The sequence below is a fragment of the Homo sapiens genome, chromosome 1 (assembly GCF_000001405.40).
Source record: "Homo sapiens chromosome 1, GRCh38.p14 Primary Assembly".
NCBI lineage: Eukaryota > Metazoa > Chordata > Mammalia > Primates > Hominidae > Homo > Homo sapiens.
Genome location: NC_000001.11, coordinates 151,426,953 through 151,452,596, shown reverse-complemented (window position 1 = coordinate 151,452,596; position 25,644 = coordinate 151,426,953). Strand labels below are relative to the sequence as shown.

The 25,644-nt window shown below is 40.6% G+C and overlaps 1 protein-coding gene and 1 pseudogene across 16 annotated transcripts in view, besides 2 other annotated features; one reads left to right on the top strand and one right to left on the bottom strand.

Annotated features, from left to right (window-relative positions):
- Positions 1-25,644, top strand: part of POGZ (pogo transposable element derived with ZNF domain) — a 56,771-nt gene that overhangs the window by 6,898 nt on the left and 24,229 nt on the right. For 4 of the 16 annotated variants that reach the window (NM_015100.4, NM_001410860.1, XM_005245000.5 and 1 more), the window contains exons 2-7: positions 10,392-10,516; positions 11,511-11,669; positions 21,756-21,931; positions 22,886-22,994; positions 24,184-24,474; positions 24,556-24,774. In NM_015100.4, the coding sequence (NP_055915.2) occupies positions 10,393-10,516; positions 11,511-11,669; positions 21,756-21,931; positions 22,886-22,994; positions 24,184-24,474; positions 24,556-24,774 (1,078 nt within the window). In that variant the 5' untranslated portion in view covers position 10,392. Of the gene's footprint in view, positions 1-1,648; positions 1,688-10,391; positions 10,517-11,510; positions 11,670-21,755; positions 21,932-22,885; positions 22,995-24,183; positions 24,475-24,555; positions 24,775-25,644 lie in introns of those variants that run through there. The other 12 variants (NM_001194937.2, XM_047450065.1, XM_017000746.2 and 9 more) reach the window with 6 other exon arrangements.
- Positions 8,370-8,664: an enhancer, noted in NCBI's record as "tiled region #7521; K562 Activating DNase unmatched - State 12:CtcfO". NCBI's record gives its function as "activates a minimal TATA promoter and a strong SV40 promoter by Sharpr-MPRA in K562 cells {active_cell/tissue: K562}" and the evidence as "EXISTENCE:reporter gene assay evidence [ECO:0000049][PMID:27701403]".
- Positions 8,510-8,619: a silencer, noted in NCBI's record as "silent region_1320". NCBI's record gives its function as "represses an Ori minimal core promoter by ATAC-STARR-seq in GM12878 lymphoblastoid cells {active_cell/tissue: GM12878}" and the evidence as "EXISTENCE:reporter gene assay evidence [ECO:0000049][PMID:35858748]".
- RNY4P25 (RNY4 pseudogene 25) lies at positions 13,504-13,595 on the bottom strand (annotated as a pseudogene).

Genomic DNA, 25,644 nt, shown 5'->3' with positions numbered 1-25,644 from the left:
ACTGCGCCTGGTGACAGGATGATTTTTAATGTTTTGGCCCATGCCAAATATTTTTTGAAAGTTGGCATACTAGTATCTATAAGAAAATATCAAAATAGCCCACCTGTAGTGACAACTACTTGGGAGGCTGAGGCAGGAGGATCACCTGAGCCCAGGAGGTTGAGGCTGCAATAAGCCGTGATTGTGCCACTGCACTCCAGCCTGGGGGATAGAATGACACCCTGTCTCAAAAAAAAAAGCCAAATATCTATGTATTTGCTTAACCCCTTGAAAGTCACTTTCAAGATATTTCTATTAAATATTTTGTGCATTTCCTAGGAATAAATACATTCTCCTACATGAATATAATATGATTATCCTTTCTGTTTAAAAATTTTTTAGAGGGATCGGTTCTGTTTCCCAGATTGGTCTTGAACTCCTGACCTTAAGCAATCCTACCACCTTGGCCTGCCACCATGCCCGGCCAACATTGACTTTTTTTTTTTTTTTTTTTTTTTTTGAGACGGAGTCTTGCTCTTGTTGCCCAGGCTGGAGTGCAATTGCACCATCTCGGCTCACTGCAACCTCCACCTCCCGGGTTCAAGCAATTCTCCTGTCTCAGCCTCCTGAGTAGCTGGGATTACAGGTGCCCACCACCACGCCCGGCTAATTTTTGTATTTTTAGTAGAGACTGGGTTTCATCATATTGGTCAGGCTGGTCTCGAACTCCTGATCTGAGGTGATCCACCTGCCTTGGCCTCCCAAAGTGCTGGGATTACAGGCGTGAGCCACCGCGTCCAGCCGAACATTGACATTTTTAAAGAGACTTCTATTAGTTTTATAGAATGTTCCATATTCTGCATTTGATTATTTCCTTCTAGAATGTCCCACCTTCTGGATTTATCTCATTATTTCTTTGTGGTGATACTTAATTTGTTCTTTTATTGCTGTATTTCTTGTAAACGCAAAGTTACATTTAAATAATGGATTTGGGCCAGGCGCGGTGCCTCACACCTGTAATCCCAGCACTTTGGGAGACTGAGGCGGGTGGATCACCTGAGGTCAGGAGTTGAAGACCAGCCTGACCAACATGATGAAACCCCATCTCTACTAAAAGTACAAAATGAGCCAGGCATGGTAACGCATGCCTGTAATTACAGCTCCTTGAGAGGCTGAAGCAAGAGAATCGCTTGCACCCAGGAGGTGAAGGTTGCAGTGAGCTGAGATCGCGCCATTGGGCTCCAGCCTGGGCAACAAGAGTGAAACTCCATCTCAAAAAATTTAAAAAAAAATAAAATAAATAAATAATTGATTTGATTCAGGTTAAATATTATTGTCAGTAATACTTCATACATTGTTTTTGGCTTTTCTTGTGTATTTGTTTGCAAAAAAATGCCATAGACAAAACAGCTGATAACTAATGTGAATTATTAGTCAGTAGTTTATTGGTTAATGTTTTTCTTTTTTCTTTCCCTTTGAGGCAGTCTCCTGTCTCAGCCTCCTGAATAGCTGGGATTACAGGCGTGTGCCACCACACCTGGCTAATTTTTGTATTTTTTTTTTTTAGTAGAGACGGGGTTTCACCACATCTCTGGTCATGGTCATGGCCAGGCTGGTTTTGAACTCCTGACCTCAAGTGATCCACCCACCTCGGCCTCCCAAAGTGCTGGGATTACAGGCGTGAGCCACTGCACCGGTCCTGGCTAAGGTTTTTCTATTTAAACATATTACAATCATAACCTTTGGCTTTTGAGATACAGAGCTACTGTAACTTTTAAGTTCAACCATAAATAAGATTTTTGAGGAAGAACATAGAAATAGGTTTCCATTTTGTCACTTTGAGGCATTGCCCTCTGCAAAAATGATTTGAAAGTTGAAGAAGCTAGAAGAGTTTATATGTAGCAAAAGTAACCTGTAGAGGAATTGTAAAGGGGCCACAACAAGAAAAAATTTAGAACTGGGGAGGCTGGGCACGACTGCTCATGCCTGTAAAACCCAGCACTTTGGGAGACCAAGGCAAGCAGATCACTTGAGTCCTGAAGTTCAAGACCAGCCTGGGCAATATGGCAAAACTCTAGCTTTATAGAAAATACAAAAATTAACCAGGCGTGGTAGCACATGCCTGTAGTCCCAGCTACTTGGGAGGCTGAGACGGGAGGATTGCTTGAGCCCAAGAGGTCGAGGCTGCAGTGAGTTGAGATCGCGCCACTGCACTACAGCCCAGGCGACAAAGACCCTGTGACCTAAAAGTTGTCAGATGAATATGAAGATAAAATCAAGTTCCTGGCTGGGTGCTGTGGCTCATACTTGTAATCCCAGCACTTTGGGGAGGCCAAGGCAGGTGGATCACCTGAGGTCAGGAGTTCAAGACCAGCCTGGCCAATATGGTGAAAACCCATCTCTACTAAAAATACAAAAACTAGCCAGCCGTGGTGGTGGGCACCTGTAGTCCCAGCTACTTGGGAGACTGAAACAGGAGAATTACTTGTACCCGGTAGGCGGAGGTTGCAGTGAGCCGAGATCGTGCCTCTGCGCTGCAGCCTGGGTGACAGAGCAAGACTCCGTCTCAAAAAAAAAAAAAAAAAAAAAAAAAATCAAGTTTCACAGGTAGGTGATTATAGGATGAAACAGACTAGATATATATGGATTTTATAAAAAAATTTTTAACATACAAGATATAACCATTTGAATAATTCATAAGAACCTTGTTCTGCTCTCTTGCAGAGTTTTTGAGACGGAGTCTCGCACTGTCTCCCAGGCTGGAGTGCAGTGGTGCAGTCTGCAAGCTGCATCTCCCAGGTTCATGCCATTCTCCTGCCCCAGCCTCCCGAGTAGCTGGGATTACAGGCGGCCGCCACCACGCCTGGCTAATTTTTTGTATTTTTAATAGAGACGGGGTTTCACCGTGTTAGCCAGGATGGTCTTGATCTCCTGACCTCGTGATCCGCCCACCTCGGCCTCCCAAAGTGCTGGGATTACAGGCGTGAGCCACTGTGCCTGGCCTGAGAGGACAAATATTTTTAAAAAGAAATGATAGTTCTTTATGTATAGAATGTGGGATGATTTTTTTTTAATTGCCCTCGTTTTCAGAACATGTATTCAGTTTGATCAGTGATTTTCAGTCTTGGCACTATTGACATTTAGGGTCGGATAATCTCCAGGCTATCCTATGCATTGTAGGATGTTCTGTAGCACTCCTGGCCACTACCCACTAGATAGGTCAGTAACACCTCTCCTCACCCCCACCCTGATTGTGACTACCAAAAATGTCTCTAGACATTGCCAAATGCCCTCTGGGGGGCAAACGTGACCTCTGATAAAATTCACTGTCACTTATGAAGATTCCTTAATTATTTATTTATGCCTTTTATGAACTAGGGTTCCCTTGATGTAAGCTAGGTACAGGTGTTGAATGAATCCCTTCTGCAGATGTAGTGTATAGCTTGGGCGGTGCCTGATATATGTTGGAGAACACTGGAATATGATGAAATATTTTAGCACTATTGGGAATTTAATTGAAGGTTCGAAATGAGCTCTTGTTTTGAAAGTAAAGGTGTAGGCTTTCTGCTGTATCTAAATCTCTGTTTTCCACCTCTGCCACCACCCCCTCATGCATTTGCTTGAAAAAGATCCTTACTAGCTTAGGAATAGTTGAGAATTTCGTTTGAAATGTTTGACATGATCTGTCTATATCTTGTGTTCAAGGAAAGATAGTTTTGTTTGTTTGCGTGTTTGTTTGTTTGTTTGTTTTTGAGAACAGGGTCTTGCTCTGTTGCCCAGGTTGGAGTGCAGTGGCTCGATCACAGCTCACTTCAGCCTCCACCTCCTGGACTTAAGAGATTCTCCCACCTCAGCCTGTTGAGTAGCTGGGACTACAGATGTGCATGCCACCAACACTCTGCTAATTTTTCTACTTTTTATAGAGATGAGATTTCACCAAGTTGCCCAGGCTGGTCTCGAACCTCTGGGCTCAAAGAATTAGGGCTCAAGCAGTTCTCCCACCTCAGCCTCCTGAAGTGGTGGGATTACAGGCAAAGAAAAGATAGTCTGGAAAAGTTACTTGCTAAAAGGCTTGATTAAACTAAATGTGTCCTCTTTGTTAACCTTTGATTGTTTGATTATATTTTTCTTAAAATTTATCTTTTTAAAATAATTTTTTAAAAATTTTAATAGATATGAGGTCTCTCTCTGTTGCACAAGCTGGTCTCGAACTCCTGAACTCAGGTAATCCTCTCACCTCAGCCTCCCGAAGTGCTAGGATTGCAGATGTGAGCCACCACACCCAGCCAAAATTTCTTAACTACATATAAATTATCTTAATGATCTAGGTATTTTGTTAGGGGAATACATACAGTCAGGATAGGATAAGAGGGGAAGTAATGAGTGGTTTACTAAATATATAAGACAAACATTTCAAGTAAAAATTTCAGGAGAAAATTTTTTTTTAGGTTTCTAAGAAATATATTTGTGGATGTGGAATTTTTCTGTCAGATGACGTAAGAGCAAAGTTGAAGATAGCTAATACTTGGGGATTCATATGGAGGTAATTTTTTATTTAAAATGAGCAAGAAGGACCCTAGCCTTTTATTGTGGTCTTGGAAACTCATTCCCCACCAGTATCATTCCTTGAAGAAATGGTTGGTTCTAGGTCTGGGGCAGGAAATATATGAGATAAGCTGAAACATCTTGACTATCAGCAAAGATTTTATCAAACGATGCTAGGGTTGTGTCAGAAGGACTCAGCAGCCAACTGAAGACGTTCCCACTGGCCAAAATAGGGCACATTGAGTATCTGTAAAGATAACTGCATGGATCAAAACACATCAAAAGCTGGGCACAGTGGCTCATACCTATAATCCCAGCACTTTGGGAATCTGAGGCAGGTGTGTTGCTTGAGTCCAGGAGTTTGAGACCAGCCTGGGAAACATGGTAAGACCCCCTCTCTACCAAAAAAAAAAAAAAAAAAAAAAAAAAATTAGCCAGACATGGTGGCTCTTGGTTATCCCAAGAGTTAGTTAGCTCTTTGTCCCAAGAGTTACTCAAGAGGTTGAGGTGGGAGGATTTCTTGAGCCTGGGAGGTGGAGGTTGCAGTGAGCTGAGATTGTGCCACTGTACTCCAGCCTGGATGAGACCACATCTCACAAAAAAAGAAGAGAAAAAAGAAATTGGGATAATGACTAGATATTTGATATTAAGGGATTATCAGTTTTTTAGGCATGTAATGGTAATACAATTTTTTTGTTTTTAAGATGGAGTCTTGCTCTGTTGTCCAAGCTGGAGTGCAGTGGCACAATCTCGGTTCACTGCAACCTCCGCCTCCTGGGTTCAAGCAATTCTCCTGTTTCAGCCTCCTGAGTAGCTGGAATTACACACCTGGCTAATTTTTGTATTTTTAGTAGAGACAGGGTTTCACCGTGTTGGCCAGGCTGGTCTCAAACTCCTCACCTCATGTGATCCGCCCGCCTTAGCCTCCCGAAGTGCTAGGATTACAGGCTTGAGCCACCGCGCCCAGCCATACAATTTTTTTAAACTATAGTCTTTTAAAGTCCTTATCTTTTAGACCTACATACCAAAATATTTATGAATATGATGTTTTAGAGATTTGTTTCAATATAATACAGGGAAGTGGGGGCATAAATGAAGGAATCCATTTTGAGTTGATAATTTTTGAAACTGAGTGACGAATACATGTCTAACTTTTTTATTCAATTAAAATTTGTATCATTAAAATTAGCAGAAAAGGAACCACTACAATTTTGATTCAGAGACTCGTATGAAAATTTGCCTGTTCACTTGTTGCAGTATGATTCCCAAATTTACTGCCCATCCAAGTTTTCCTTTTTTTTTTTTTTTTTTTTTTTTGAGATGGAGTCTTGCTCTATCGCCCAGGCTAGAGTGCAGTGGCACGATCTCAGCTCACTGCGACCTCCACCTCTCAGGTTCAAGCGATTCTCCTGCCTCAGCTTCCTGAGTAGCTGGGATTACAGGCGTGTGCCACCACACCTGGCTAATTTTTGTATTTTTAGTAGAGATGGGGTTTCACTATGTTAGCCAGGCTAGTCTCGAACTCTCAACCTCAGGTGATCCCCCCGCCTCGGCCTCCCAAAGTGTTGGGATTACAGGCGTGAGCAACCGCGCCCGGCCGTTTTCCTCTTGATGTAGCACTGTATTCACTATGGGCTGGCTTTAAATATCTGAAATTCGCATTTCTGTTTGGCAGTTTTGAAATAAAAAATGAGAAATTAAAATGCCCCTTAAGGATTACATTTCAGCATAATTTTTTTAGTGTGATAAGTATCCAATCCTTCATAGCAAGAAATTAGGGAAGAGGGAATAAAATTCGTTTTTTTTTTTTTTTTTTTTCCTTATGAGAAAGATTTGGTATGGAAGGAGGTTAAATGTGTGGAATGATAGTTTGGGAAGATCTTTTTTTTTTTTTTGAGGGCACATTTTCAGAATCTGGATATACATGTTAACACTGCATATTTAGTAATTACTGTCTTCTTTGTTCAAAAACAGTTGAAAGGCTGCCCTTGCCCATGATCGGGGCTAAAAAAAAAAAAAAAAAAAAGTTGAAAGACGGTATGCCATGGATCACTTGAAAGACCACAGAGAATGGTGGTGTTTCTTGAGAATCTTGGTAGAAATATTAAATACTGCATTTTATTATGTTAGTATAAGATTTCCTTTTGATAACTAGAAAACTACAAGAAGGATCTAAATATGAATTTTCTATTTTTGGTTTGCTGAATATTTATATTAGGTTGATATATCTCTGTTGTATCTTTTAGACCCTGAGTTATAGATGCTGAAAGTGAAAGGAATTGATCACATCCTGAGATAGCAGAGTGTAGGTCAAAATCAAGGACAGTTTTGAAAAATTTGGCTTCAGTGTCTTTCAGAGATGCTTTGTGTATAAGTCTGTGAAATATGTTCAGTCAGCAGACCTAATATTTTCTGAGTTGACAAACCTTATTAGCTAACTCCATCTTCTATGTTGTTTAAAAAAAAATGAAAAATATTTCCCCATAAGTTGGATTTTCTTTTTTTTCTTTCTTTTTTGTCTCTTTCTTTTTTTCTTTTTTTTTTTTTTTTGAGACAGAGTCTGGCTTCTGTTGCCCAGGCTGGAGTGCAGTGGCGTGATCTTGGCTCACTGCAACCTCTGCCTCCTGGGTTCAAGCGATTCTCCTGCCTCAGCTTCCTGAGTAACTGGGATTACAGGCGTGTGCCACCATGTCCGGCTAATTTTTGTATTTTTAGTAGAGGTGGGGTTTCACCATGTTGGCCAGGCTGGTCTGGAACTCCTGACCTCAAATGATCCACCCTTCTCAGCATCCCAAAGTGTTGAGATTACAGATGTGAGCCACTGTGTCCAGCCAAGTTGGATTTTCTTTTCATTTTGAGTCTTTTAATTTACATTGGATATCTTGGCAGTACTCATACCTAAGGAGAAGAGATATTTTTCTCACTTGATTAAAAAGTAGTTAGGACATAAACATCTTTCTTTGCCATCTTTTCAGATCTACCCTTTTTGGTTATTTCCATTTGTTTTTTATTTTATTTTGTAGGGATGGAGTATTGCTCTCCAGCTCTCCAGCTCAGGCTGGAGTGCAGTGGCACCACTGCAGTTACTGTAACCTCGAGCTCACTGTAACCTCGAACTCCTGGGCTCAGGCGATCCTCAATCCTCCTACCTCATCCTCCCTGGTAGCTGGGACCACTGGTGTGTGCTGCACGCCTGGCTAATTTTTAAAAAAAAATTTGTAGAGATGGAGTCTTGCTGTGCTACCCAAGCTGGAGTTCTTTCCATTTCTCTCAGAAGGTCAAATGGAAGAAATTTCAATATTCTTATTAAAATTCATTGCTTTATAAAATAAAGAACTGAAACTCTTAAGGTATTGTAAATACTTAAGATAAAAGAACACCCTTTTGGGTATGCTATTAAAATAACCACAGGCATGACATTGAAAACCACAATTTGTATTCTGATAGCTCTTCATATTCCAAATCAAAGTTTTCATATGTGTGGAGAGTTTGCTTGTAAGTGGTCAGGACAAAAGTAGGTCCTTGAAAACCATCGGCAGAGGTTATTGTCCACAGTTTATATTCATTCTGCTGGGTGTTGGATATTTGCGCATTAATTATCTGTTGACTAAGCTCTCAGAAAGTTATACAGCAAAGAACAATGGAATAAAATTAAGTATTTAAGGAAAAAGTTTTTGAAAATATATTTTGTAGTGGAATTAGACTGGAAAACAAAGGCATGTGTTGTCTTTGTCTCAAAGAATACCTGTGATATGGATTTGATTTCTTTTTAATTCAGTTTCTGGCTAGTATTGTCTTCATATAATTAAGCCTGAAAATAAGAGAATTTAAGTAAGTTGATCCCTTAGATCTTTTTCTTTCCTCACCCCCTTTGTGGCTTTGGTTTAGAAAGACAGAAATAATTAAAATAGAAGATTAAAGACCAGTTAGAATCCAGTTAAGCACTTTACCCATTAAAACCCAGAGTGCCCCTGGCTATAGCTGACTCACTGGGGCACTGCAAGATTGTTTTCAATTTTCAAGCGAAACAATGCCATCTGTTGGGCTTCTTGCAAACTGCTACTGTCAGGATGTATAGCCCTAACTAAATACTCAATAAACAGAATGGTTAGGTTGGTTGTTTGGTTTTGGTTTTCGCTTATGGATGTAGCAGCAGAATTACTAAGACACTAAGGACACTTAGAGCCTTACAGTAAAGGCTTTGTTTGAACATTGAGCAGTAATAGTACTCCCGTTCCAACACAGAGAAACTGACCCTTAGTAAACTGTTATTGGAGGGCAGAATAGCATTAACTCTTTGTTTGCAATGCAGAGATACAGACTTTATTTATTTGTTTTTATTTATTTTTATTTTTTTTGAGATGGACTTTCGCTGTTGTTGCCCAGGCTGGAGTGCAGTGGCGTGAATTGTGGCTCATTGCAACCTCCACTCCCATGTTCAAGCGATTCTCCAGCCTCAGCCTCCCGAGTAGCCGGGATTACAGGCATGCACCACCACGCCCGGCTAATTTTATGTTTTTAGTAGAGATGGGTTTTCTCCATGTTGGTCAGGCTGATCTCAAACTCCCGATCTCAGGTGATCCGACCTCAGGTGATCCGCCCACCTCGGCCTCCCAAAGTGCTGGGATTACAGGCGTGAGCCACTGCACCCGGCTCAGACTTTAATTTTTTAAAGGGACATGTAATTTAGGCAGTGTTTTCAAATTAAGGGTTGACTCCGAAATCACAGTGGAATGGCCTCCAGGATTTCCTAGACTAGACGTACAAGGTAGTAGTAGGACTGGGACTAGAGTATGACAAGTAAGGTTCTCATCTTAGATGCAAAATTTAAAGGAGTACAGAGAGGTTCAGTAATCATAATAAATGCATTTTAATGCATCATTTTAAAAGATCAATATTAATGCAGAACAATCCATAATGAACAGAATATCTATTTTAAATAAAGACTGAATCCGATCCTGCACTTGCTTGACTCACCTCACTGTCCTCATCCTAACCCTGGCCCTGGGTATTACACATTAAACTTTTTGTTGTTGTTGTTGTTTTTGAGACGGAGTCTCTATTGCCCAGGCTGGAGTGCAGTGGTGCGATCTTGGCTCACTGCAACCTCTGCTGCCCGGGGTTCAAGCAATTCTCCTGCCTCAGCCTCCCAAGTAGCTGGGATTACAGGCGCCTGCCAGCGTGCCCGGCTAATTGTTGTGTTTTTAGTAGAGATGGGGTTTCACCATGTTGGCCAGGCTGGTCTTGAACTCGTGACCTCGTGATCCACCCACTTCAGCCTACCAAAATGCCGGGATTACAAGCATAAGCCACTGTGCCTGGCCTAAACTTTTATAATCCTAATTTTTTTTTTTTTTTTTTTGAGACAGAGTCTCACTCTGTCCCCCAGGCTGGAGTGCAGTGTTGTGATCTTGACCCCCTGCAACCTCTGCCTCCTGGATTCAAACGATTCTCGTGCCTCAGCCTCCCAAGTAGCTGGAATTACAGGGGTGCACCGCCACGCCTGGCTAATTTTTGTATTTTGAGTAAAGACAGGGTTTTGCCATGTTGGCCAGTCTGGTTCTCTAACTCCCAACCTCAGGTGATCCACCTCCCTCGGCTTCCCAAAATGTTGGGATTACAGGTGGGAGCCACCATGCCCGGCCTGTAACCCTAATTATTAAATAATTTGCTGTGGAATGGATTCTAATATTCAATAATAGAAGTTGTAATTCTGAACCCTTGGAAATGGAGGAAGGCTAGAGGATATGATAAAGGAGTCCAAGGAGGTAGGTTACCAATGGAGTCAAAGTTCTGATTTCATATTTGGTATAAAGCAATATCTCCTATTCTTAGGCCCATATCTTATTTGAATGTTTTTCTTATAGCATGGCGGACACCGACCTGTTCATGGAATGTGAGGAGGAGGAGTTGGAGCCATGGCAGAAAATCAGTGATGTCATTGAGGACTCTGTAGTTGAAGATTATAATTCAGTGGATAAAACTACCACAGGTAACAAAAGCTCTTCTGATCTTAGATGGTTTAAATTAATTAAATTGAATGGTATTTTGGTTAACAAAGTGTGAGATGGAAAAGGACTTGAAGAATCCAGGGAGACCTCGTTGTGGCACTCACTGGTGCTGCCTTTTTTCCCATGCTCTAGTCTGTGAAAACCTCAGTTTCCTCATCCATATAGCTAGAAACTATATATTTAATTCATCGAAAACATTGGAAGGTTGGATTAACCAGTGTTTATCAAATATCTAGCAGTCTTCTTACTAAAAGATGTATGAACAAGAATTCAAAGTGGTGGTGTGTGTGTGTCAGTGCTCATTTATGTACCCAGTCAAAAATAGGTTCCCATAGTCTTGTTTTTTTTGTTTTATTTTGTTTTACTTGAACTTGGTTTCCTTTGTGAGTGGAGTAGAAATTGCCTTGTGTCTGCCTTCATGGACAGTTTACAAATTTAGGCTTGTTAGCTTTTCTTTCATAAAGGTGATACTGCTGGGTCAAATTCTAGATTGCCCTGAATTCAGAAAATGGGTGGTAGTTCTTTTGCTCCCCTAAATTGTACCAGTTGCTCTATATTTTTATCTTTCCTGTCTTGAGACCTGAAGATGGCATTGGTTTGGGCTGAAATAGGGCACAGTTCAGGGTCTTTTGGATGGCTTAATATGCATGATTATGAATACCACTAGTGGTAATAATAAACCTTTGAGTCCTAGAGGTTTGCTAGTGCTATGTAAGCAAAGATTAAAATCCCAGTTCAGTGGGCTCCGTGATGTAACTTAATTAACCAGGAGATGTGAGACGAAGAAGGGATTGTGTTTAAATGGTGGACTAAGGGTTAAGTAGGAGGAGAAATCACATGAACAGTTGGATTTATGAAACAGGAAACTTTTTGGCTATAGAGACCCACAATAAGATGGAAAGGGAAGATTAGAGCAGTATCCTTTAGTGTCATCTGTCCCTGTCTCCAAGTGACTATGCCTCCCCTTCCCCACAGTTTCTGTGAGCCAGCAGCCAGTCTCGGCTCCAGTGCCCATCGCTGCCCATGCTTCTGTTGCTGGGCACCTCTCTACATCCACCACCGTTAGTAGCAGCGGGGCACAGAACAGCGACAGTACAAAGAAGACTCTTGTCACACTAATTGCCAACAACAATGGTAAGTGGGATTATTGGGAAATAATAATCCTGGGCTAGAGGGGTGAAAGAATAAAAAAGGTCTCAGGGACAGCCCTACCTGTTTAGTTAGGTACAGATGTGGTTCTACTAGTTGGAAAATGAATTTAGTAATGATTCTCTGATACGGAAGTGATTTCTGTAGATGGTGCTATTCCTTCTAAGTTAGTGCTGACTCGGTACTGGTGTTTCAAGTGAGAGAGCAGTAGATTCTTGCTATTGATAATTTCTTGGAGAGAAAATGTCAACCCAAAATTCCTGTTAAGATTTTTTTGTTTGGTTGGTTGGTTGTTTTTGTTTCTTTAATGAGAAAAATTCCATTAGTTTGGTAAGAATTTTCCCAGGGCAGTTCTGTATTTTCTCTGGCAGATTCATTTGTTTATTGGTTCCTGAGTATGGAAGATAGGATAGGGTTGTTGTCTACATGAAAGAAATGGTGAAAGACTAGTGTTTTTAGTGTATTTTATTTTATTTTTTTTAATAGAAAGGCTATATAGTATTGGTTTCTATTTAATTTCTAATGTCTATTTCTACACTCCTAAGATGAGTTGTTGACCAGTTATGTCTCAAGATTCATAACTGAAGTAGGCACTTTCATAGAGTCATTGCATCGCTGCGAGGGACTTTATTTTTTAATTATTTTATTTCCTTTAAAACTAAAACAGCTTTAGTACTACAAAAATAATATATGCATTGTAGAAAAACTATAAAGTGAAAAAAAAAAGGAACAAAAAAATGTTTAACCATAATCCCACCACCTGAAGATAACTGATGGTTACTTTTATTCTGTACATATATTTATTTTTTATTTTTATATACATCTATATGTTATATGTGGTGATTTTCATTTGACAAAAAAAGATTATACAAGTTGTACATTACTCTGCCTGCCTTTTCCCCTTAATAGTGAATATCTTATTTTAATAGTCATCTATAACATTTTTGATGACTGACTGTATTTCCCATTATTTGATTAACTTATTAACAATGGGTTGTAAGAGGGTATATTGCTATTTTTAAGAGCTTCAGTGAACATTCCTATCTCTGTATCTTTTCTCGCATTGTTAATTAGTTCTGCAAATATATTTCTGAAACAAATTGTTGGCTCAAAGGTCATCACAGTTTTTAAGAATTGTGATCAGTATTGTTCCTGGATTGGCCATCTAGAAATGTTGTGTCAGTTTATATTGCTGATAGAAGAGAGTATGGTTTTTAGTTTGGGAATATAACCATTTATATGTGCATTCCCCATTGTTGAACATTTATTAGGGTCCCCATCCTTTGTGATTACAAATGATGCTGTGGTGAATGTTTTCAGGCATGTGTCCTTGCCTACTGTGTAAAACGTATTTGCAATATAAAGTCTTAGAGGTGAGATTTGCTGGATCAGGTGTTTATAATTTGATAGACGTTGTCAAGTTGTCCTAATAGGTTGCTCTAAATAAGTGCCCGCCAGTAGCTCTTTCCCCGCATTGTTGCCAACTTTAGGTATTATCAAACTTTAAAACCTCCATGATTTCCAAAGGTTTTCAGTATTTGGGTACTGAAAATATGATGATTTTATGGGGAATCTTTAGACTTCTAAAAAACTTATAAATGGGATCCCTTGTATGTATAAAGATGGGGAACCATTTATGTAAAGATTTCTATTATTTTACAGATGTGGAAACTGAGGCCTAGAGAGTCTAAATAATTTGCTTTTGTTATAAGTAATAATAGTTGCTAAGTGACTAAACTGTATTTGCATTTTCTGGACTTCAAAGCTTTCGGGATTTCCACTGTATTATATTGCTTTCCTGTGTATTTCTTTTTTTTTTAAGCCAGTCAAATTTAGCAGTGGGGGAGTTGTATACCAACTTTAGTGACACTAATGTTTATAAGTTCTGATAACCCACTACCACAGGACTAGTCCTATGTGTCTCTCAAACTGTTAAAGTTCTGTTAGCAACCAGCTTACCTAACCTTTTCTTTGATCCCAGGGTTCCAAGGCCCATACTGAGATGGCTGTGCATCTTCTTTTTTTTTTTTCTCCCTGAGACGGGATCTCACTTTGTCACCCACGCTGGAGTGCAGTGGCGTGAACACAGCTCACTGCAGCCTCAACCTCTGTGGCTCAGCAATCCTGCCATCTCAGCCCCGCAAGTAGCTAGGACTACAGGCACATGCCACCATGCCTGGCTAACTTTTATAATGTTTGTAGAGACAGGGTTTCACCATGTTGCCCAGGCTGGTCTCAAACTCCCAAGCTCAAGCGATCCTCCCTCCTTGGCCTCCCAAAGTGCTGGGATTACAGGCGTGAGTGAGCCACCATGCCAGGCCAGCTGAGCATCTTGTGACATGCTGAGATGACCTAGTCTCCTTGACTCCTTGAATGTACCCTTGATTCTTGAGCCTGCCTATGGCCAGTGTACTAATTTTTTCTAAAAAATATAAATTGACTTTATTTACTTCAAAAGCCTCTAATATTTAAATTAAAATGTTAACCCATAACCCATGTTCATGAAAAAAAAGAAGACAGTGGGTATAGACTGGTAAGTAACCACAGTCTTGTGTATTCCAAAAAAAAATTCATCCATAGATAAGCATAAATTAATTGCAGTTGTCTAATTTATTTTACTTTATATATCTATATAAAAAATACATACAGTTCTGTAACTTTTTTCATCAGATACTCTTGTTTTTTCTTTTTTGTTTTTTTTTGAGATGGAGTCTCCCTCTGTCACTCAGGCTGGAGTGCAGTGATGTGATCTTGGCCCACTGCAACCTCCACTTCCCGGGTTCAAGTAATTCTCTTGCCTCAGCCTCCTGAGTAGCTGGGATTACAGGCATGCACCACCATGCCTGGCTGTGTTTTTTGTGATTTTAGTAGAGATGGAGTTTCACAGTGTTGACCAGGCTGGTCTCGAACTCCTGACCTCAGGTGATTTGCCCACCTCGGCCTCCCAAAGTGCTGGGATTACAGGCGTGAGCTACTGCGCCCAGCCTAGGAACTCTTGAAATGCTAGTCCAACTTTAAGGATATGGCTTCAGAATAAAGTGAATGAGAAATACTGCCTCATACAACCCAGTTTCCCTTTAAGCCTTCAGTTTAATTGTATTGATATATTATCTGCTTACTACATTAGTAACATAGCAAATGAGAATAACGTTTGTTTTTTTGAGACAGAGTCTTACTCCATCACCCAGGCTGGAGTGCAGTGGCGCAGTCTCGGCTCACTGCAACCTCTGTCTCCCTGGTTCAAGCGATTCTCATGCCTCACCCACCCCAGTAGCTGGGATTACAGGCATGCGCTGCCATGCTCGGCTAATTTCTGTATTTTTAGTAGAGATGGGGTTTCACCATGTTGGCCAGGCTGGTCTCAATTTCCTGACCTCAAGTGATCCACCCACCACGGCTTCTCAACGTTCTGGGATTACAGGCATGAGCCACTGCTCCCCACCAGCAAATGAGAATAATTTTTAAACAATTCAGTATTGTTTCACTTAGTGTACTTTAAAAAGTTTAGAAATTTAAAATTAAAAAAAAATTTGTGGTCTCAGAAGAGGGAAAGATTTCTTAAACCAAATACAAAAACAGAGCTAACCATAAAGGGTAAAATTGATAAATAGAACTACATTAAAGATGTGATTAAAAAAAAACACACACGGAGAAGACAAACCACAAACTGGAAGGTGTTTGTGGCATGTATTACTTTTTTTTTTTTTTGAGACGGAGTCTGCACTCCAGCCTGCTTTGTTGCCCAGGCTGGAGTACAGTGGCGCAATCTCGGCTCACTGCAGCCTCTGCCTCCCAAGTTCAAATGATTCTCGTACCTCAGTCTCCCAAGTAGCTGGGACTGCAGGTGCCTGCCACCACACCCGGCTAACTTTTGTATTTTTAGCAGAGACAGTGTGTCACCATGTTGGCTAGGCTGGTCTCAAACTCCTGACCTCAAGTAATCTGCCTGTCTTGGCCTACCAAAGTGCTGAGATTACAGACATGAGCCGCCTCACCTGGCCCTCGAAAAGTTAAACATAGAGTTACCATATAACCCAGCAGTTCTACTCCTAGCTGTATACCCAAGAGAATGGAAAACGTATGTTCACATAAAAACTTGTGCACTAATGTTCATAGCAGTATCATTTGTTATAGCTAAAAGTAAAAACAACCTGTGTCCATAAATTGATGGATAAACAAAATGTAATATATGTACACAATGGAATATTATTTGCCCATAAAAAGGAATGAAATACTGATACATTCTATAACATAGATGAACCTTGAAAACATAATGCTGAGAAAGAAGCCAGACATACAAAATTAGCCAGGTGTGGTGGTGCATGCCTGCAATCCCAGCTATTAGGGAGGCTGAGGCAGGAGAATCGTTTGCACTCGGGAGGCGGAGGTTGCTGTGAGCTGAGATCGCACCACTGCACTCCAGCCTGGGCAACAAGAGGAAAACTCTGTCTCAAAAAAAAGAAAGAAAAAAGAAGCCAGACACAAAAGGTCACATATTATATGATTCCATCTATATGAAATGTCTTGAATAGGCAAGTCCACAGAGAGAGAAATTAGATTCGTGGTTGCCAGGGGCTGGGAAGAGAAAAGAATGGGGAATAATTGCTAGGGGAAATGAGGTTTCTTTTGAGGGCGATGAATATGTTCTGGATCTAGGCCAGGCGCGGTGGCTCACGCCCGTAATCCTAGCACTTTGGGAAGCCAAGGCAGGCGGATCACCTGAGGTCAGGAGTTCGAGACCAGCCTGGCTAACATAGTGAAACCCTGTTTCTACTAAAAATATAAAAAACTAGCCGGGCATGGTGGCATGTGCCTGTAATCCCAGCTACTCGGGAGGCTGAAGCAGGAGAATTGCTTGAACCTGGGAGGCGGAGGTTACAGTGAGCCGAGATCACGCCACTGCACTCCAGCCTGGGCAACAAGAGCGAAACTCCATCTCAAAAAAAAAAAAAAAGAAAAGAAAATGTTCTGGAACTAAATAATGATGATGATGGTTGCACAGCCTTGGGAATATAAAAAAAAATCACTGAATTGTGTATTTTAAATGGGCAGTATGTGGATTATATCTCAAAGCTGGGTTTGGTTTTTTGTGTGTGTTTTGTTTTTAAGAAAGTATCAAGGCCAGGTGTGTGGCTTACACCTGTAATCCCAGCACTTTGGGAGGCCGAGGTGAGCAGAACATTTGAGGTCAGGAGTTCAAGACCAGCCTGACCAACATGGTGAAACCCCATCTCTACTAAAAATACAAAAAAATTAGGCGAGTGTGGTGGCATTTACCTGTAGTCCCAGCTACTTGGGAGGCTGAGGCAGGAGAATCGCTTGAACCTGAGAGGTGGAGGTTGCAGTGAGCTGAGATCACGTTACTGCACTCCAACTTGGGCTACAGAGCAAGACTCCATCTCAAAAAAAAAAAAGGAAAGTATCAGGAATAAAATTTTGGAATATTTTTACTATTCTGTTTGATGTTCTTTAGAATTTACTACTCAGTATTTTAAAATTATTCCTGTAGTTCTGACTCATCTTATGTTTGCACAGGAAAGAAACATTATGAGGTGAAATAAACTATTGCTTAATTCTGAGCTGTGAATGATGTGAATTTAATGTTATAAATTTCTTACAGTATAACTAATTATGGTTTTCAGTTCCTATTGTATTTAGCCCTCTATTTCTGGGCTTTAAGGGTATGGAAGTAAACTTAAAAGAATGAAGGAAGGCTGGGCGCAGTGGCTCACGCCTATAATCCTAGCACTTTGGGAGGCTTGAGGCGGGCAGATCGCCTGAGGTCAGAAGTTTGAGACTAGCATGGCCAAATAGTGAAACCCTGTCTCTGTTAAAAACTACAAAAATTAGCTGGGCATGGTGGTGGGCATCTGTATTCCTAGCTACTTGGGAGGCTGAGCAGAAGAACCACTTGAACCTAGGAGGCAGAGGTTGCAGTGAGCTGAGGTCATGCCATTCCAGCCTGGGTGACAGAGCAAAACTCCTTGTGAAAAAAAAAAAGAAAGAATGAAGGAAAAAAATCAAGAGAGAGCAAACTTAGAGGGAGAAAGTTAGTTGCATAATTCTTTGATTTATGTGCAAGGTGGGCAGATCACAAGGTCAGGAGATCAAGACCATCCTGGCCAACATGGTAAAACCCCGTCTCTACTAAAATACAAAAAAATGAGCTGGGCATGGTGGCATGTGCCTGTAGTCCCAGCTACTTGGGAGGCTGAGGCAGGGGAATCACTTGAACCCAGGAGGCAGAGGTTGCAGTGAGCCAAGATTGCACCATTGCACTCCACCCTGGTGACAGAGCAAGACTCTGTCTCAAAAAATAATGTGCTTGATACCATGTGATGTCTGAAGTATAGAAGAAAACTCATGGAATTAATTGTCACTGAGGTGGATTGTTTTATTTCATTTGTTTCTTAGGTTTTCTTTGTTTTGTTCAAGATGGGGTCTCACTTTGTCACCCAGGCTGGAGTGCAGTAGTGGCACGAACACAGCTGGCTCACTGCACCCTCCACCTCCCAGGCTCAAACGATCCTCCCACCTCGGCCCCCCAAGTAGCTGGGACTACAGGCACACACCACCATGCCTAGCTATTTTTCATTTTTTATTTTTGAGACTGAGACTCACACTGTTGCCCAGACTGGAGTGCAGTGGCACAATCTTGGCTCACTGAAGACCCCACCTGGGTTCAAGCAATTGTCATGCCTCAGTCACTCAGGTAGCTGGGATTACAGGTATATGCCACCATGCCCAGCTAACTTTTGTATTTTTAGTAGAGATGGGGGTTTCACCATGATGGCCAGGCTGGTCTCAAACTCTTGACCTCAAGTGATCTGCCTGCCTCGGCCTCCCAAAGTGCTGACATTATAGGCGTAAGCCACCACGCCTGGCCTTGTTTTGTTTTTGAGATGGGGGTCTCACTGTGTTGTCCAGGCTGGACTCGAACTCCTAGGCTCAAGTGATCCACCTGCTTCAGCCTCTCAAATAGCTGGGACTACGGGTGCATACCACTGCCCTAGTTTGGATAATCCTTTTAAAGGCTTTTTTTTTAAAGCACCAGAATTGTGATTGCCTGTTTCATCCTCTGGAAATAGAACCTTGTAAGACACTTGAATTGTCAGAATTCCTTTGAGCAAAGATTGCAGAAATCATTAAAATGCTTCTAAATAAGTAAGTATAATTTACCTAGTATGACTTTCCATAGTCTGGCTTTTGCTTTCCATTGCATTGTGAATCTAATCTGGTCTTAGAAAACCACTTTTTGATTGTACCATATTTTTGGGAAAATTCTTTTTTTTTTTTTTTTTTTTTTGAGACGGAATTTCGCTTATTGCTCAGACTGGAGTGCAGTGGCGCGATCTCGGCTCAATGCAACCTCTGCCTCCTGGGTTCAAGCAATACTCTTGCCTCAGCCTCCCGAGTAGCTGGGATTACAGGCATGCGCCACTACGCCTGGCTAGTTTTGTTATTTTTAGTAGAGACGGGATTTCTCCGTGTTGGTCAGGCTGGTCTCAAACTCCTGACTTCAGGTGATCCACCCACCTCAGCCTCCCAAAATGCTGGGATTACAGGCATGAGCCACCTTGCCCAGCCTTTTTGGAAAAATTCTAACAATCCACCAAAATTTAAACTTGACCCTGATATAAGAGAAAATATTTGCAGAAAATGCTGTTAAAATTCTTTATAATGGTATTTACGGGTTTCATGGAAACCTGGTCTGTCTTTAAGAGACTTGCTAATGCTGACTGATTTCCCATAAATGCAAAAAGCCTCCATCTTTCCCTTCTTGTATTTAATTGGGATGTTGAGCTAGTAATTATCTTAAGAATTTTTAGAATTAGGATAAATAAGAGATAATTTATTTTCTTTTGTCCTAGCAGTTAAAATAATGACTAAAAAATATAGACTTTTGCTTAGTCAATATTTTTCAACCATAAATTTCAAAAGGATAGAAAGAGATGGTTGGGGAACCTATAGATTAAAAGAGTTAGTTCATCAGTTGCACTTTGCAAACATTTTGTAACTGGATTCAGACAAATTACTTAAAAAATACAAGTAAATTTGAATTTTGACTGGGTATTTGATATTGAATAATTATTATAATGTTCAGGAGTTATGTTGGTATGATTCTTTTATCTTTTTTTGAAGTTCTTATGTAGAAGGTATATTTTGAAATACTTATAGATGATATGATCTAGAACTTGCTTTAAAGTGATATGGGAACTAGTAAGTATGTAGAAGGTATAGATGAAATAAGACTTGCCATACATTGATAATTATTGAAGCAGGGTGGTGGTTGCATAGGGGTTCACTATAGCGTTCCCTTTTTATGTATGTTTTAACTTCTCCATAATAAAACATTTAAAAATTTAAAAAACCCACCATAGATAAATTGCCAGTATAGTTTAACATGGATAGAACTTGCTGGAATTTTCTGTTTTATTTATCTATCTGCCTCTACAATCACTGGTCTTCTGGCTCAGTAACTGAGGGTCTAGTCTACTGATGAGCTCTCAGTTTCTGAGAGAGTATAAGATAAGCCACTGCTGGCCCATTAGTAGCCACCTACATACCTATTCCTTTGGTGGTCTAGCTTTGTAGTTAACTGTGGTGATATAACCTGCCAAGTGGAACATACATTTCAGAGGGGCCCATCCCATTCTGGTGATTTTGGGTAAAAAGTTGAGGCCATATTTTGCTTGACTCTTTGGTTTTTTGTTTCTTGTTGTTGTTGCTGTTGTTGTTGTTTTGAGACAGAGCCTTGCTCTGTCGCCCAGGCTGGAGTGCAGTGGCACAATGTTGGCTCACTGCAACCTCCGCCTCCCTGGTTCAAGCAATTCTCCTGCCTCAGCTTCCCAAGTAGCTGGAATTACAGGGATGCGCCACCATGCCTGGCTAATTGTTGTATTTTTAGTGGAGACAGCGTTTTGCTGTGTTGGCCAGGCTGGTCTTGAGCTCCTGGCCTCAAGTGATGTGCCTGCCTTGGCCTCCCAAAGTACTGGGATTAGAGGTGTGAGCCACCATGCCTGGCCTGCTTGACTCTTTGGCTTAGGTATATTGGCTCTCTGAAATTTTCTATCTGGTTTTGAGTATACTTTGTAAATCAGGAAACTTAGTATTGGTTTTTTCACCAAATGTCATGAAATAGGGGACTTAAAAATATTTATAAAATTTTTCACAAATGAAAAGAATTTAAGATATTTCAATAATAGCCCAGTTTATTAATATTTATTCATGAATGAATCATTATCTTCTGAAATCATGTCATTTTTACTTGGTGTGGGTTAGTTTTTGTCCAGGTCTTCTGATTATCACCCCTGATGACATAAAGAGAGGGCTACGGTAGGTAGCCTGTCAGTCTCTGGGTTCCCAGTGGTTGCTTAAAGAATCTTGCATTTCTCAGATTTAACTCACTAGGAAGAGAAACCATTCCTTAGATTCTGTGTGCTTGCTGAATTAATGTTTGTTGATGAATATTCTTTTTAAAAAATTAAGGGGGATTAGCTAACAAATTATCTTCTAATAAAATAGGTTTTACCTAGTTAAAATATGGAAAAAGACTTAACATATTTTGTTCTGCTGATTTGGTGGGGGAGATTATGTGTGGTCACTTAAATCATGAGAGTCAGGGTGCTAGCCACATAGAATTCTAATGTGTCTTTCATCCCCAGTGAAGACATATGGGTGAAGTGTTAGTGAACCTCCCCTACCCATCTGTTTTTCTGTTAGTTGTAGATTTGGGTGAAACTTAAATTTTTGGTGAGTTTGGTCACATTAAACCTGAGATGAGTGGCAGTCTTGGATATTTTGGCATATAGGACACCATTTCTGTTTCTAATAAAATGTGGATTTGTACTTGGGAGGCTGAGGTGGAAGAATCACCTGAGCCCAGGAACTTGAGGCTGCAGTGAGCCGTGACTGTGCCACTGTGCTCCAGCCTGGGTGACAGAGTGTGAGACCCTGTATCAAATAAAATAAAATAAAATAAAATAAAATAAAATAAAATAAAATAAAGTAAAATGTGGGTTTAACATTGTTTCTAACATTCCTTTTTTTTTTTCTTCCTTTACCCTTTAGCTGGCAATCCTTTGGTCCAGCAAGGTGGACAGCCACTCATCCTGACCCAGAATCCAGCCCCAGGTCTGGGCACAATGGTTACTCAACCAGTATTGAGGCCTGTTCAGGTCATGCAGAATGCCAATCATGTGACTAGTTCCCCTGTGGCCTCACAACCAATATTTATCACTACGCAGGTGAGTAGGACTCTGAATTCCAAGGTTGCTAGAGGAGAGAAAGACTATAAACCTCTGAAAACTCTGACTTAGGGTCTTTGGCGTCATTAGAAGTGGTTCTAAGTCTTGTCTTTTGACCTGGCTTTCTCTTTTACTGTTCTGTAATTTGATGCCAACTGTGGAAAGCCCAGCATAGTATGGCTGGGTAATATCTTCTTTAAACCCCTTAGAAGTTTATTAAGTGATTTGATTAAAGTCTAGGCAGAAATAGTGGGAAAACTTGAATTAGGAAGCCTTAACGCTTGGCTCTTGAGGCTTTTCACCCTTTGCGTGGACTGCTCCTCTTCACATGGGATGAATTAGTTAACTTTTGGAGATGTATGTATGTAATTGGTGGAGTTCATGGAGACCTTTGGGAGACAAGGAAGATGACTTATTTGATATATAATGTGTTGAATTGAAGTTGAAAGCCTAATTCTGAATATGGATTCTAAAGGCAAATGCTTCTCTTTGCCTGTGGCTTCCTGAGTTGTAAATTCTTATGAATTTGCCAAAGGTTTATGGCCTTTGAAGTAGACTTTGGGAACAATTTTTTAGGATTGTTTGTATGTTGAATCACTCCAGTGAACATTGCTCTTCCCCCTGCCCCCCACCCCCACTTCTGTTCATTTAGCACTTTAGGGAGCCAGTCTGTTGATGAGGTTTTTTTAAGCCGATGCTCTCTTAAGTCAGGAAATAGGTTTTCATTTTTGCTCATGTGTACCAAAGCTTGTTCTCTAATTTTGATATTTTGTCTCTCAAAAGTTTGCCAGAATTTCCTAAATTTTTCCCTCTCAGTCATTTGAAACCTCTAATTCTAGAGAAAGAACCATTAAGTAAGAGTATGGGAATTTTTTTTTGGATGTAGGTCATACTGCAATCTTTGTCAGTGTTAATTGGTCTCCATGTTAAAGATCATTTTGCTTTTTAATACAGGGATTTCCTGTAAGGAATGTCCGGCCTGTACAAAATGCAATGAATCAGGTTGGGATTGTGCTGAACGTACAGCAAGGCCAAACGGTTAGACCAATTACACTAGTTCCAGGTAAGGAAAAATGTCTATCCATTTGGAATAAACTGGCATCCAGAAGATTTGTTTTTATTGTTCTAAATATCCTAAGTCATTTAGTAAGTACATTTAAAGAAAATCTAAAAATATAAAAATATTAATGATTTAAGCCCAATTTTAAAAAATCTGCTTCTAACCTTTGGCCAGGGTGGTGGTTTTATTTATTTCTGTTTAGCTTTTCACCACCCTTCATCAAGTAGTAAAACAGAGTTTACAGTCATTTTTCTGTAACTGGTATTTAGTCAGCTATTAAGACTATGTTATTAATGCAAACTCATAAATTCTACACTCCTTACACATCTCCTCATTTGCACGGTGGGATTATAAACTTTGTTTTAATTTTATAGCATAGATTTTAGATATAAACAAATGACATTCCTTTTATGGATAAATACTGTCAATGACTAGATAGTTTTTTTTTTTAAGATTCTGCTAGATAGTTTTTTTTTTTTTTAAGATTCTGAGAAGGATAATTTTTTTAAAATCTTAGAATTTTCCATTGCTCTATTTAGCATGTATAAGTTTACTACAATTCAGACCAAAAAAGAGTATCTTAATTTAGCTATTTGTAAGGGTACCTCTGTAGCTTGTCTTCCTAAGGTTTTGTTTTTTGTTCTCGTAGCCCATAGGGGTTTAAGTCTGACCAGCTTACCCTGGCATTTCTTTATTTTTCTCAGTGGAATTGTCTACAGTTGAGCCAGGAGACATTCCTCTTTGGGACATCCTAGTAGAATGGCATAGTCTGTCTTCTGAGTTGATAGAAGAGGATGGAAGACTCCTTTAGTACTCTGAGAAAGACTGATTTCTTTTTTCAGGACCAGGTTTGCCATTTGGCCTATATACACCCATATTGCTTCCCACTCTTTTCTTCCAGTACCGAGGTCAAGCCACTGATTGTATTCTTAGAATTAAAAAGGCAGTGTGATAAGGTGTTTTAGGAGGAGTTGATGGGAGTCTTATTTAACTTAATGTTTTTAGGCTGCCCAGGTTATTTTGTCAACATGGACACCTTGTGCTTTCTTAGTCTTTAGAATCTATACTCCTCTTGGAAACCTCTGATGATCATCCATCAGTTTGGGGAAATAATCTTTCCAGTAAAGGCAGGGAGAATGTGTTATAGGTGAGCTCACTGACCAAGATCTGGTACTTTGTCTCTCTTTTAAAGCCCCAGGTACCCAGTTTGTTAAGCCGACAGTTGGAGTTCCACAAGTGTTCTCCCAGATGACCCCTGTGAGGCCAGGCTCCACAATGCCTGTGAGGCCCACCACCAACACCTTCACCACCGTCATCCCGGCCACTCTTACCATTCGAAGCACCGTCCCACAGTCCCAGTCCCAGCAGACCAAGTCCACTCCCAGCACTTCTACCACTCCCACTGCCACACAGCCAACCTCACTGGGGCAACTAGCTGTTCAGTCTCCAGGCCAGTCAAACCAGACCACGAATCCCAAGCTAGGTAAGGCTTCGGAAGAGGAGATGGCAGAGCCAGGTTGGGATGGTGGGTGGAGAACAGATGATTATCACTTGGTCACCGTAGCTCCCTCCTTCCCCTCTCCACCTGCAGTGAGCATTGCCAGCTTTGTCACTGTGAAGCGACCTGGTGTTACAGGCGAAAATAGCAATGAAGTGGCCAAATTGGTGAATACCCTTAACACCATCCCTTCCCTGGGCCAGAGTCCTGGGCCAGTGGTGGTGTCCAACAACAGCTCTGCTCATGGCTCTCAAAGAACCAGCGGACCTGAGTCTTCAATGAAAGGTACAATAACCTGAAAGACTCTGAGCAGCCAGTCATTCAAAAACATTAATAAAGTGTTTGTTGTATCAGAGCTTTATACTCAGAAATAGAAAAATAAAATAAAATACAGCTGCTGTAGTTTGTTCTTACAGAAACTTTAGTAAGGAGAAAGCCACTTACAAAAAGTGTAACTGAATCAGCTCCAAGAAATTATGTGTGTAATTGTGCTTTGGAGATTAGTGAAATTGATTGATTAAAGATGGGTGAGATAATGAAAGATAACTTCATGGAAGAGATGGATTTCTGAGCAAGGTTTTAAAGTTAGGATTTGGTAGAGAGATCTTCAGGTTGAGAATGATGAGCATGAGGGTTTTCAGTGGTCTAGAGCAGGGGTCGGCAAATGTTTTCTGTAAAGGGCCTAGTAGTAAAGTTGTAGGCTTTGTGCACAATATATAGCCTCTGTTGCAGCTATTAACTGTGCTGTTGTGGTGGGGAAGCAGCCACAGATACATAAACGAATGAGCATGGCTGTGCTCCACTAAAAACTATTTATGGACTCTGAAATTTAAGTTTCATAAAATTTTCATGTGTCGAAAAGTTTTATTCTTTTATTTCAACCATTTAAAAATAAAAACCGCAAGGTATAGTGGCTCACACCTCATCCCAGCATTATGGGAGGCCAAGACGGGAGGATCACTTGAGCCTAGGAGTTTGAGACCAGCCTGGGCAACATGGTGAGATCCCATCTCTACAAAAAAAAAAAAAAAAAAGATTAGCCAGGCGTGGTGGTGTATGTCTGCAGTCCTCGCTACTCAGAAGTCTGAGGTGAGAGGATGGCTTGGGCTTGAACCCAGAAGGTTGAGCCTGCAGTGAGCCATGAGCATGCCACTG